This window comes from Homo sapiens, chromosome 2, assembly GCF_000001405.40.
Source record: "Homo sapiens chromosome 2, GRCh38.p14 Primary Assembly".
NCBI lineage: Eukaryota > Metazoa > Chordata > Mammalia > Primates > Hominidae > Homo > Homo sapiens.
The window spans coordinates 28,236,057-28,249,579 of NC_000002.12; the positions used below are offsets into that span (position 1 = coordinate 28,236,057).

The 13,523-nt window shown below is 41.1% G+C and overlaps 1 protein-coding gene across 14 annotated transcripts in view; it reads left to right on the top strand.

Annotated features, from left to right (window-relative positions):
• The window catches only part of BABAM2 (BRISC and BRCA1 A complex member 2), a 450,193-nt gene that overhangs the window by 347,348 nt on the left and 89,322 nt on the right, over nucleotides 1–13,523 (top strand). For 13 of the 14 annotated variants that reach the window (NR_137438.2, NR_137440.2, NR_137439.2 and 10 more), the window contains 3 exons: nucleotides 1,146–1,245; nucleotides 5,267–5,337; nucleotides 8,724–8,806. Coding sequence is in view for 10 of the 14 variants with exons in the window: in NM_001329112.1 (NP_001316041.1) it covers nucleotides 1,146–1,245; nucleotides 5,267–5,337; nucleotides 8,724–8,806 (254 nt within the window). In the remaining 4 variants the exon portion in view is untranslated. The remainder of the gene's footprint in view (nucleotides 1–1,145; nucleotides 1,246–5,266; nucleotides 5,338–8,723; nucleotides 8,807–13,523) is intronic. The other variant, NR_137437.2, reaches the window with a different exon arrangement.

The window sequence follows — 13,523 nt, forward strand, 5'->3', positions numbered from 1 at the left end:
AACATTATAAATAAATAATCACAACATTAAGAAGTAATCACAACATTAAGGGATTTTAGGGATTTTTAAAAATATCCCATCATATTACAGAGAGGGTTTAGGGGGCTTATAGAAGTATATGCATTAAAATGAAATTAAGAAAAACAAACTAAGGCAAAAGGAAAGTGAGCATAGGAAAGAAGATGAAGTCAAGATGAAGGGTGATAAATGAAATGTACGCCTTAAAGTTCTGAACAATTTCTTTTAATAATTGTGTGCTGGTTCATTTAAACTGAAAAAAAGAATTTCTTTTTTTTTTTCTTTTTTTCTTTTTTCTTTTTTTTTTGAGACCGAGTCTCACTGTATCGCCCGTGCTGGAGTGCAGTGGTGTGATCTTGGCTCACTGCAATCTCCGCCTCCCAGGTTCAAGCAATTCTCATGCCTCAGCCTCCTGAGTAGCTGGGATTACAGGTGCCCACCACCACACACCCAGCTAATCTTTGTATTTTTAGTAGAGACAGGGTTTCATCATGTTAGCCAGGCTGGTCTCAAACTCCTGACCTCAAGTGATCCTCCTGCCTTGGCCTCCCAAAGTGCTGGGATTACAGGCGTGAGCCACCATGCCTGGCCTGAAAGAAGGAATTTCTGAAAGTTGTGGAAATTATTTCAGAATCAACATTGTGTCTTAGTGCTTGGATCAGTGATTATTGACTGCAGCTTCTTGTATACCTTTTGAAATACAAGATAATGGCCGATAAGCTGTAGAACTAGAGTGTTGCAGCAATTCATTTTAGTTCAGTTTCAATGTTTAATGAATAACTTATCTGTGCCCAGCAAAGAATTGGGCATAATGAAGAGTATAAAAATATGTTTCAGTAATACTTACAGCCCATTAATGTTGGTAAGACATTTACCCATGCCAATCAAAATTTTCTAATTTGTACTGTTGTGTGTTATCAATGATGTATAATGCAAACATGCTAATTTATTTAAATGAATTAAAATACAGAAATGTAATCATAAAGTGAAGCCCATATACCCATCATCATTAACCTAGGCAGTTGGTGGCCAGACTTTGATGAGAGAAGCCAAGTCTGCTTGGGGGTGTCACTTCTTAAGTTGCTTGAGCCCTAAGAGAAGTGTCCATTGTACTCTTGTCCTTTCAGTGCACTTGGAGGCTCCTCAGCTCTTCATATCCCAGCTTTTCCAGGAGGAGGATGTCTCATTGATTACGTTCCTCAAGTATGCCACCTGCTCACCAACAAGGTAAAAGCAAGTCCCCAACTCATCCCTCTTATGAGATTTCTTCCTCCAGTCCACCACGTACCCAAAATCATCGTGCATGCTCCATCCTTCTCGGACCGACTGCTCAGTTTCAGCCTCCATCTGACACCTGCCCTTCCTACTGTGAATTACAGTTAATCTGTTTCTCTCCCCATTTCTTTGCCCTCCTTCTTCCTTTTCTAAGGATTCTGACCTCCTTTTCCAGTCTTATCTTCATCTCTTAACTTTATGTCTGGGATTTAAGTCACGTCTTTCTTGAATTTCCTTTACCCAGTTTTTGCCAGATCTTGCACCTTCTTAAACTTTAAAACTTTGGAACCCCATTGCTTCCCAATTATCCAGTGCATGCACACGTGTGTGCATGTGTTTGGCAGTAGTTGGTATCCGCGTAATTGTTTAAAACTACCTTCATCCCTCTCTGTGTTTCTGTACCTTACTTTTTAATAGTCAGCCTTTGATTCTTCCCGTCATATCTGGGAGCAGTTCACCAGAGTCCTGTGCCTAGGGGTAAGATTCCCAAGTCAGCTGGTCTTTTTATTTTTATTTTTTTTGAGACAGAGTCTCACTCTGTCGCCTGGGCTGGAATGTAGTGGCGCGATCTCGGCTGACCGCAACCTCCTCCCGGGTTCAAGCGATTCTCCTGCCTCAGCCTCCTGAGTAGCTGGGATTACAGACACCCGCCACCAGGCCTGGCTAATTTTTATATTTTTAGTAGAGATGAGGGTTCACCATGTTGGCCAGGCTAGTCTCAAACTCCTGACTTCAGATGATCTGCCTACCTCAGCCTCCCAAAGTGCTGGGATTACAGGCGTGAGCCACCGCGCCCAGCCAGTCAGCTGGTCTTATACTCAGTCAGATGATCTAAAGCTTCTCTTAGCTACATCAATGAGCCATTTCATTAGCAAGTAGCTGAGTCTAACGGTTATTGTTAGATATTTCCAAAAAGTGTAAGAATATACTTGTTAATGTCCAGCTAGTATATTTAGCTGAAAACTAGTGATACTGATGCACAAACAATGCTGACTCTCTTTCTTCTCCCACATGGACTGTGACTCAGTTTGTTTAGTTGCCAGAGTGCAATTTCTTTGCTCCTGTTGACTTGTTCACATTGGCTTGGAAAAATAGATCTTTTGTTTGTCTCTTTCACTCAAAAGATAGCTCACTTCTATATAGAAAATAGTTTAAAAGTACAATAATATTTCAAGAGCTTCAGTATTATTTTTCAAATGTCAGAGAAACTAAAATCTAGCAACTCCACCGTCTGTGGGCCTGGCACAGATTCCAGGCTTTAACCCTCATGCAGGGGTTGCTTCTCATCAGACCAAATCTCCCCAGCCTCTGCCCTCCTGCAAAACTGATCGGAGGACAGAATTCTTATTTACATTCTGGGGCTTTGCACTGCCTTCAAATCTGTGTCCCAGAATTATAGAGAAACATGCAAATTTGGTCTTCTAGAACGGAGAAGAAAAGCCTTTTTAAAGCTCTCCAATTGAGATTAATTTCTAGTCATACATTTTCCTCAAAAAAAAATTATAACACCGTTTTCCCAGAAATATAAGAATCAGTCAATTTTTCTTATCTGGTTTCCTTTCATTAATTTTACTTGTCTTTTGAAATTGATGTTCTTCTGTTTGCTACAAATGAGGACAGTATGGGCTGCTTTTAGAAACAATCTCTTCAAATGAATTTCCATAATTATATTGGAATCTATCTTTATAGCCAGTTTTGTTGTGGGTTTCTGTTAAAATGGTTTTCTGTTTTTAAAATCAAGTATACAGAACTGTTTTCATCCCCTTTTTAAACAAAGCCACTTAAGCAAACTTATCATCTGTTTTTCTTTTCTCAAAATAACATTTCTGATCCCGCATTAAGCCTGCAAAGTAAGCACTGTTTTTATAAATTGACATAAACCCCTATTATATAAATAGAATTGTTTTACATTTAAAGGGTTCAACATGGCTATCAGTACCAATTGTGTCAAGGTTATTTCAAGCACTTTATCTTGAGCTTTTGTTAGCCATGGAAACTCAGTGTGGCTATAGCCAATATAAACAATTTTGGGGGTCTCTCCTTCCCACTGTTTCTTCCAGCCATCATGAGAACATTATAAGGAATGTGTTTTCGTGTTAGAAGCTGGTGGGTAAATGACTAACTTTCAGATGCCTAGCTTAATGAGTTTGCAATTTTTTTATAGAAACTGTCATTGGGTGATAATGAGGAAATATAAAAAGGCAAAGCAAAATAAAATCTCCTATTGTAATACTCCTTATTCTGAATATCAGAATTTTAAAATGAGAGAAGTATTATTCTGCCTTTTTTAATAGGAGCTCAAGATAACCAAATAACCCCATTTGATGAGAGAAAGCTCTTTACAGAGTATGTCAGCTGATGTATGCAAAAGGAATGATGGGATTCAAAAATCATCATTTTGCAGTCCCTAATGAAATCATTGATTCAGACAAGGATCTCCAGTAAATACTAAAACCATTAGGTGAAAGGTTGATGGGAAACTAGGTTTTCCGCTGCTTCAGAGGGTATGTCCATAGACTATTCACTGTGGCAGAGGGAGCATTCCCTTCCATTGGAGGGGTCTGGCTGTTGTCACCTTAGCCAAGTGATCAGGCCCAGTATCATCTAGGAAGTTTTCTTGCCAAAAATGTTCAACCTGGACCTAATCACCCTTTAGCTCTAATTTCTAATTTATTGGAAATACAGAGAGTAAAGGAAAAAGAAAGAAAACAGAATTGAGACGTTCTACAAGACTACTAGCACAATTTGTTTTCTTTTTTCTTTTTTTTTTTTTAAGAGATAAGATCTTGCTCTTTTAAAGAGATGAGGTCGCCCAGGCTGGGGTGCAGTGATGCCTTCTAAGCTCAATGCAGCCTTGAACTCCTGGGCTCAAGCATTCCTCCTGCCTCAGGCTCCCGAGTAGCTAGGGCTATAGGTGCATATCACCATACCCAGCTAATATTTCTTTTATTTTTTGTAGAGATGAGGTCTGGCTGTGTTGCTGAGGCTGGTCTTGAATTCCTGGCCTGAAGTAATCCTCCTGCTTCAGACTCCCAAAATACTGGGATTATATGAGTGAGATTCCACATCTGGACATAGCCCAATTTATTTGAAAAATTAGTGTCATATATGTGCATGCAGGCACACACACATACACACACTCAAGGAGGCACTATTTATTATAGATTTAGAAACTTAAAAGGCATTAAAAACAAATGGCTGATCCTTAATCATACATTGTTTTTTAAAAAACATTTTGGGCCAGGCTCAGTGGCTCACACCTGTAATCCTAGGACTTTGGGAGGCTGAGGCAGGCTGATCATCTGAAGTCAGGAGTTCGAGACCAGCCTGCCCAACATGGTGAAACCTCGTCTCTACTAAAAATACAAAAATTAGCAGGGCATAGTGGCGGACTCCTATAATCCCAGCTACTTGGGAGGCTGAGGGAGGAGAATCACTTGAACCCAGGAGGTGGAGGTTGCAGTGAGCTAAGATCGCGCCATTGCACTCCAGCCTGGGCAACAAGAGCGAGACTCTGTCTCAAAAAAAAAAAAAAACAAAAAAAACCCATTTATTTTAATTCTTTTGAATTAAAAAATAAAAATAAACATTTTGGGGACAATTAGGAAATTTTGAAAATGGACAGGGTACTAGATGAATTCAGAGACCAATTGCTAAATTTGTTGGGTACAATAATGGTATTGTGGTTATGTAGAAGAAAGTTTTATTTTTTAGAGATGCATACTGAAATATTTAAGAGTGAACTGTCATGATGTCTCTCATTTCCTTTGAAGTGTTGATTGATAGGTTGATAGATAGATGGATGGCTGGAGGAAGCAAGTAGGCACAATAGTCACAGTTGTTGAATGTAGGTAGTGGGAATACCGGTGTTCACTTTACTATTCTTTCTGCTTCTCTGAATCTTTGAAATTTCTTATAATAAAGCATTTAAAAGATTCCCACTCTACTTCTCAGCTTTGGGTTTCTATTCCAGGTGCAGTACGTGATTCAAGGGTATCACAAAAGAAGAGAGTATATTGCTGCTTTTCTCAGTCACTTTGGCACGTAAGTTCTGCCCTGTTTGAACGATATACCGGTGATGCCCTCGCTTGCTGATGACCTCAACATGGGGGCTTGATTAAGAAAATAGCACTTAGTTCTTACACATGATACCTTTTTTTTTTTTGAGACAGTCTCGCTCTGTCACCCAGGCTGGAGTGTAATGACATGATCTTGGCTTACTGCAACCTCCACTTCCCGAGTTCAAGCGATTCTCCTGCCTCAGTCTCCTGAGTAGCTGGGATTATAGGCATGGGCCACCACACCCAGCAAATTTTTGTATTTTTAGTAGAGACGGGGTTTCACCATGTTGTCCAGGCTGGTCTCAAACTCCTGACCTTGTGATCCGCCCACCTTGGCCTCCCAAAGTGCTGGGATTACAGGCGTGAGCCACCACACCCAGCCCCACATGATACCTTTTTAATGCCACTTTGATCCTTTTTGGTATGCTGTTCATACCAAAGCTCCCAGGATCCCTTTTTTTTTTTTTTTTTTTCGGTACTCTTTGGCAAATAGTAGAATCAAATATCTTCCCTAGAGCAGCAGCCTGGACAGCCCTGAACTCAACAGTAGTAATGGTGGTAACGGTCACTTTTTGTAGAACTCTCTACAATTTGCATAGCACTTTTCACCTCCATGCCCTCACAGTAGCCATGGGGTGAACCAGGCAGGCATCACCGGCACATTTTGTTGAAGAAGCTCTGAAATTGCGGTAAGTTCAGTAACCCAATGGAAGTCGCGCCCCTAGAAGAAGTGGAGCCAGGGCAGGAACCCCATTTCCCCAGCACTCAGGTCTCCTGCTAGGACTCCACTGCCAACAGTGCCACACAGATCCGGGCAGGAAATCCAGCATTCGATGCAAAAGCGGTGGCTCGCACTTGAGGTTAGGAGTTGAAAGCAAGCACCGATAGGGGAGAGGGAAGCCTGTGACACCATGGGCGCCTCTGGCTGCTCCATCCCTGTGCCTTTGCCCTTTCCTTCTGGCTGCCTGTGGCTGTGCTGCCCTGCAGCCCTGTTTCCTTAAGTAAGTCAGAGGCCTGATCAAGCTTCTTCTCAGGCTTTGCTCAGTGAGACAGGGAATGCATTTTCCTCACGATCTTTAGAAGATAGAACATTCTACCCATTGTCGTTAACGAGGCACTAAGGATTTTAGAGGTCTGATGATAGCCCACCTTATTCCACAGAAGGCTTATAAATATATAAATATATCTAGTAATACAAAATTAAAATTTTAAATAAGGAAATTAGGAATAGGGAGAGAAGATGAAACCAAGAAAATGATTTGTCACCCTCTGGGATATAATTTTCAAACCATGGCACAATTATAAGAAAATTTCTGACTCCTCAAACCAATTTTAAGACATTTTTCTCATTCCCATAATGGAATTTTTCATTTCTCCGAAATAGAAGTGTCAATAACCAAACAGTATGACTGCCTCTCACATGAGTCTTTAATACTTAAGATTTTTTTCAGCTTTGTGAACATTTTGAGAAAGTACTTTTGATACAAATAGTGGTTAATAAATAATACCATTGATCTTCTTATTTTTAAGTAAGATTATCTTTAGTATATATAATTAAACATGAAGAAGCTAGCACAGTGGCCTCCAAAATGTAGTACACACACCCCAGAAGTTACACAGCTCACTCTATTGAAGTATAAGAAATATATGAAAATTACATTGACATTTGCTTTCAAGTCTCACTTTTTTAATGTACTTTTTTGTGTACATTTTATTATGCATGTAGTACAGTAGTATACTAAAAAGGACTATATACTTGTCTTTGCCTGTGGGATGCAGGATCTGAAAAGTATTGATATCAGCACTATAACATTATTGGGCTAATTATAAATTCATAGAGAGGCCAGGCACAGTGGCTCACACTTGTAATCCCAGCACTTTGGGAGGCCGAGGCGGGCGGATCATGAGGTCAGGAGTTCGAGACCAGCCTGACCAACACAGTGAAACCCCGTCTCTACTAAAAATACAAAAATTAGCTGGGCGTGGTGGCGGGTGCCTGTAATCCCAGCTACTTGGGAGGCTGAGGCAGGAGAATCTCTTGAACCCGGGAGGCGGAGGTTGCAGTGAACCGAGATCATGCCACTATACTCTAGCCTGGGCAACAGAGCTAGACTCCATCTCAAAAAAATTTAAAAATTAAAAAAAAATTAGCCGGGCATAGTGGCAGGTGCCTGTAATCCCAGCTATTCGGAAGGCTGAGGCAGGAGAATTGCCTGAACCTAGGAGGCAGAGGTTGCAGTGAGCCAAGATCGCACCACTGCACTCCAGCTTGGGCAATAGGGTGAGACTCTGTCTCAAAAAAAAAATAAATAAATTCATAGAAATATAAACTAAAGAATTGTCGACTTAAGATCTGAATGATATACCAACCATTTTTTAGCAGATCACTTACCCTTCAGTATCTTAGTTCTTTTACCTTTATAAGGGGTATAACTGTTCCTTCCAACTTAAACTGGGCGGGCATCAATATCAGTGGTCTGATTGGCCTGGTTTGGTCAGGGATAAGGCATCTCTAAGGACATCAGAGTCCTCCTTGTATGGATGAGAAAGAAAATTATATCTGTCCTTAGTGTGGTTAGTATTGTCACATTATGGCGACATCCTCCAGGCGCTCAGCTCTTGAGGGAAATGGATGAGTTGAGGCTACAGAATTGCGCCTTGGCCCATTCAGAGGTCAGGGGATGTTTTCTTTTGACACATGAAATATGCATCTCCCTTCCTGAACCCAGCATCCACCCATCTAGTGTTGCTACTTTGCCTTAAGCCCAGTGGGAAGGACAGGGGAACACAGTGAAAGGGGACACAGTTGTCTGGTGTGATTGCCCTAACCCAGCTCAAGAAGAAAAGTAATATATAATACTAAATTTAGTAATACTGTCATTGCATATTACTATGTAGTGCCCAGTGAAAGTCAGACTTAACAATCACTGTACAGGTAGTATGCTGACATTTGGCATTGTAGTGTCATTGCTGACTTGATTTCTTAATATGTCCTTCTACTCATAATTAATGTAATAACTCACATTTGTATAGTATTTTATGATTTATCTTATTTGTTTTTCACAACCCTGTAATGAATTTTGCAAATATTTTTATACTTGTTTTGCAGGTAAGGAAACTGAGGCTGCAAAGGTTAAGTGATTTGCCTGAGGTCATAGTAGATAGTCAATGGCAAAGCTGTGACTTAAACCTAGATACTGTCATTCCAAACCCCAGGCCCTTCCTGCATTAATCCTCACTTGCCTTAAACCCATCTCAAAGTCAATAACCCTGACTTCACGAATATATTCTTTACTTGGTTTTATTGCTTTTATACCTTAATTTTATGAGGGTTTTTTTTGTTTGTGTGTGTATGTTTTTATTACTTAGAGGTGTCGTGGAATATGATGCAGAAGGCTTTACAAAACTCACTCTGCTGCTGATGTGGAAAGATTTTTGTTTTCTTGTACACAGTGAGTATACTTTTGCTGTCAGCATGTCAGCATACATTTTTAAATGTCCTAAACCACATGTAATAATCAGTACTAGAACCTTTTCTGTCCTGTCTCGGTTCCTTTTACTGTAGCGTATATATATATTTATTGTGGGATATTAAGGAGAAAATATCTCTAGGCCGGTGGTTCTCAACCACTGGAGCAATTTTGCACCTCAGGGGACGTTTGGCAATGCCTGGAGACATTTTTGATTGTTATGACTGAGGGGGTGGGGATTTGCTACTGGCATCTAATGGGTAGAGGTCAGTGATGCAGCTAAACATCCTACAATGCACATGACAGCCCCTCACACACACACACAAAAAATTATTGAATGCAAAATCTCAGTATTGCCAAGCTAGAGAAACCTTACCCTAAACAGATTCTGTTTCTAATTATCTTTCCAGTATCAGGCCTCAAGACTTTTGGTATTATTGGAAACATACCTGCTGTGATCATTTGGTTATCATCCTTATTCAATGAAAAGTCTACAACTTTGATAAAATGTAATACATAACTTAAAGATGGGGTAATGTTTTAATGTATCCCCAACATCATTTCTTCATGTTCTTCTGCGTAGTAGGCATACCTAATGGTGGTTGTCACATATTAATCCATCAGTCTGTAAACATCGACCCAGCTTTCTCTTGATAGATAATTTAGAGTCTTTTTATTTCCTGATTATGTAAGAACCAGTGACCCATGGAGTCAGGTTCAAGTTGCAAGTCAACTGAGACCTTCATTCTGCAGTAATTTGGTACGTACAATGTTCAGTCTTCAGGCCAAGGCAAAGGAGCCAACTTTCCCAGCTTGAGTTAGAGAAAAGCAGTGGGTTTGAATTGACTTCACTCAAACCCATGGCTTTTAGAACTTACCCTATGCCTTAATAAACTACTGCAGGAGGAATAACTTTGGCTGTATTTAGCCAAGGCATCAGACAGTGTAAAGATACTGACTTTAAGGGATTTTTCTTCTGCAGCAGATTTACCTTCTTCGTTATGATTTGCTTTGGTTAAAATAGTTCTTAAGTTCATTTTTCTATCTGATTACACACCAATAGATAGTAAGGGCAGAAACCAAAAAAACATCCATAGTGGCAGAAAGAAGAAAACGTCTAAGTAAAACCTTATCATGGTAAAATTCATATAGAGATGATCGAGCGCAGGCCACAGTTTTAAGGAGATGGGCCTCTCTGCCTTGAGGTGTTGCCCAACAATCACCACTTTTCAAGGTGTCAGGCACCTTGTCACCATCATAACCTACAGTGTGGGGCCAGGTAAGGAGGAAGCCCCACAATCAAGGCCTCCTGGCAATCTCCTCTTTGCTCAGTGTCTTCGATGGCCCTACTAATCTGAGCCTAACACTGGTACTGCAGCCACCACTTTTGATTCTGACCTTATATATCCTTGCTTTGGTTTGGCATTCTGTGGCTTAATTCCTTTGTGAAATCTCACTTCCTATTTGCTGTATTCACTTTACCTTACGACCTTGGTCCCAGTGATTCTTTCTGTAACCTGATGACCCAACGGCAGATCTTGATTGCTTCCTTAATTTATTCATATCTCTTGTGACTTGGGAAGGTTGTCTGGTGTGATTATCCTAACCCAGCTCAAGAGGGACCTGGGCCTTACCTCAAATGATGGTGGTGACGGCCTCGTGCCTCCTGAGTGGCTGTGGACAACTCCATCACAGCAGGACAATTGCAGACACTAAGATGAATGCTTCAACCAGTTCCTTCATCTCCAAGTGACATAATAGCCTGTCTTTTTTCCTGAATCTTTAGTCTCCTAGCCATGGTTCTACTTTCTGTTGATGTCAGATCATATCAGAATAAGGGGAAAAATATATTTCATGGCATTGCTCAATTATAACCTATGTTTTCCACATGCAACTCAAAGATGACTATTCTGGTGGTTGCTAGCAAGAAGAAATTGTCACTTGCAATGATGGTCAGAGATAAAAGAACATTCACCTCTCAGCTCCTGCCAACTCGTTTGTCAGTACATTCAGTAATGTAGCTATTGCTGTTGCTTTTGAAGGTTTATTCCCCACAGAATATTTTCTCCTTGGTACCATGTGTTCAGTATTTCTTACAGCTCCTTCTCTGCCTTTCTATCTTAGCTTTTCCAAATCAGACATGCAGAATTGAGTCCCAAAGTCATCTTTTCATTTCATTTTGAATTACCTTCTTCAGAAACATAGAACCCCCAGGCACTCATTAGAACAGCTACCCGGGACCTTGGGAGTTGTTTAATTGACTTTTTCCAGTGTTTCCTGGAGCTCTTATTCCTGTACTCCCCCGGCTGTTTGGTCCCTGTCTCTTAGCATCACTGCCACACTCTTGGCTCTTCTGGCAGATAAGACCCTGCCTGTGAACCAAAGGACTTTGATGCTGTTTCCTGCTCCCTCACTAACTCACAGCCTGTCTTTAAATAAATTATTTTCACCCATTTCCTTTTTTCTTATCTAAAATATAGGACTTGCTACCTCGGAGTGAAGCTTGGTTAGATAATGTGTTTTACTTAGTCATGCAGTTAAGCATCTGACACTTACCTTCCTTTGGAAGCATCTGCTGGCTTGGTTACAATGCCCAAGGGACCACTTGTTCCTTTTTCTCCCTTCCATGAAGATGGGGAGGGGAATATGAGGTGGCAGAGACTTAACAAAGAACATTGCAGTGAATTATTCTGAGATCTCAAGAGGTGAAAAGGAGGAAGGAAGTGCCTGGAAATAGAGCCATTCCCCTGTGGCTGCCTCTACTACTTCATGGAGGTTGAAGACCTAGCAGGACATGAAATAGCATCTCTGTTCTCCCCTTCCTCCCTATTCTCCTCGGGCCCAGGATAATTGCTATTGATAGGATAGCTCCTGGCAATAATTATGTGCATTTTGGATGCTAGAGGAAAGAGGCACTCTTCTTGAGACAGACAGCTCTGACCTCAGACTTTGCCAGACTTTGAAAAAGCAGATTGCCTTAAGGAAAAGCATTGCACAGATTCTGGGATCTCTCAGGAGGTACTGCAACATCCTGGCATTCTGGCAGTTCCAGGAGTGGGGACTGTGGCCATGATTGTGGCCATGGAGCATTTCCATCCACTTATTCCTTCCTTACATCATTCATTTTCAGCATGTCTCAAATCTTGGAACTGTAGCAGGATCAGAAACTTGCTCCCATCCAGAAACTATTTTTAGGAAACTTTCCTGGCCATCATCTAAGAATTATTCATAGCAGTTGTATAGGCAATTCCATATTTGCCAAATTATGCTTACCTCTGGAGGTAGATGTTACCTTTAAGCTAGTAGCTTTTGTTTATTTTCTTTTTCTTTTTTTTTTTTTTTTTTTGAGACGGAGTTTTGCTCTTGTTGCCCAGGTTGGAGTGGAATGACGGGATCTCGGCTCACTGCAACCTCTGCCTCCCAGGTTCAAGCAATTCTCCTGCCTCAGCCTCTCGAGTAGCTGGGATTACAGGCATGCGCCACCATGCCTGGCTAATTTTGTAATTTTAGTAGAAACGGAGTTTCTCCGTGTTGGTCAGGCTGGTCTCAAACTCCCGACCTCAGGTGATCCACCTGCCTCAGCTTCCCAAAGTGCTGGGATTACAGGCGTGAGCCACCGCGCCTGGTCCACTAGTAGCTTTTCAGAATGCAGCGTGGCAAGAGAACCAGATAGCAAGGCGAAGTAACAGAACAAAAAAAATCCTCTGGGGAAAAGCTACATGCTTTTTTTGTGGGTCCCAGTCAACTGCACTGTAAGTAGACACACAAGGAGGCAGCTGTCTACAGGAGCAGAGTTGCTGCTTAGAAGGGGAGACAATTGAGTATTGAGATTTGTGACTGTATGACAAGCTGTCTTTTTCCATTACCTATAAATCTTTGGTAAATGACCCTTTGAGTCATTCAGCCTGGACTGTAGGCCTTTTCTCCCTGGTAAAATTCCTGTTAGACCAAATCTGACCACTTTTTTCTCTTGTTTTCCTCTACCTCCAACTTAACTGAGTTCTGAGTTTACTAAGAACCTACTGCATGCTCAGTACTATGCGAGGTATTAGGGGATATAAGTATATAACTCAGAGTTGACCTTAAGATACTTACAGTAACATAGCACAGAAATTAGAAAACTACAGCCTGTGGGCCAAATCCCGTGTCAGCCTGTTTTTATAGGGCCCTTGAGCTAAGTATAGCTTTTTGTTTGTTTGTTTGCTTGTTTTTTTTTTTTTTTTTGGAAACAGCGTCTCACTCTGTTGCCCAGGCTGGAATGCGGTAGTGTGATCTTGGCTCACTGCAGCCTCCGCCACCTTGAGTTCAAGCGTTTCTTCTGCCTCAGCCTCCCGAGTAGCTGGGACTACAGGCATGTGCCACCATGCCCGGCTAATTTTTGTATTTTTAGTAGAGACCGGGTTTCACCACGTTACCCAGGCTGATCTTGAACTCCTGGCCTCAAGCAATCTACCCGCCTAGGCCTCCCAAAGTGCTGGGATTATAGGTGTGAGCCACTGCACCCTGCCCTAAGGGTAGCTTTTATATTTTAAAAGGATTCTTAGAAAACAGAAAGAAGCAGAAGAATATGCAGCAGAGACAGTATATGGTTTGCAAGACCTAAAATATTTGACCCTTCACAGAAGTTTGCCAACTTCTTGTCTAGTTGATGAGAAAAAAGATTAGGTCAAGGTGAAGTACAATGGTATGCATTTTTAAA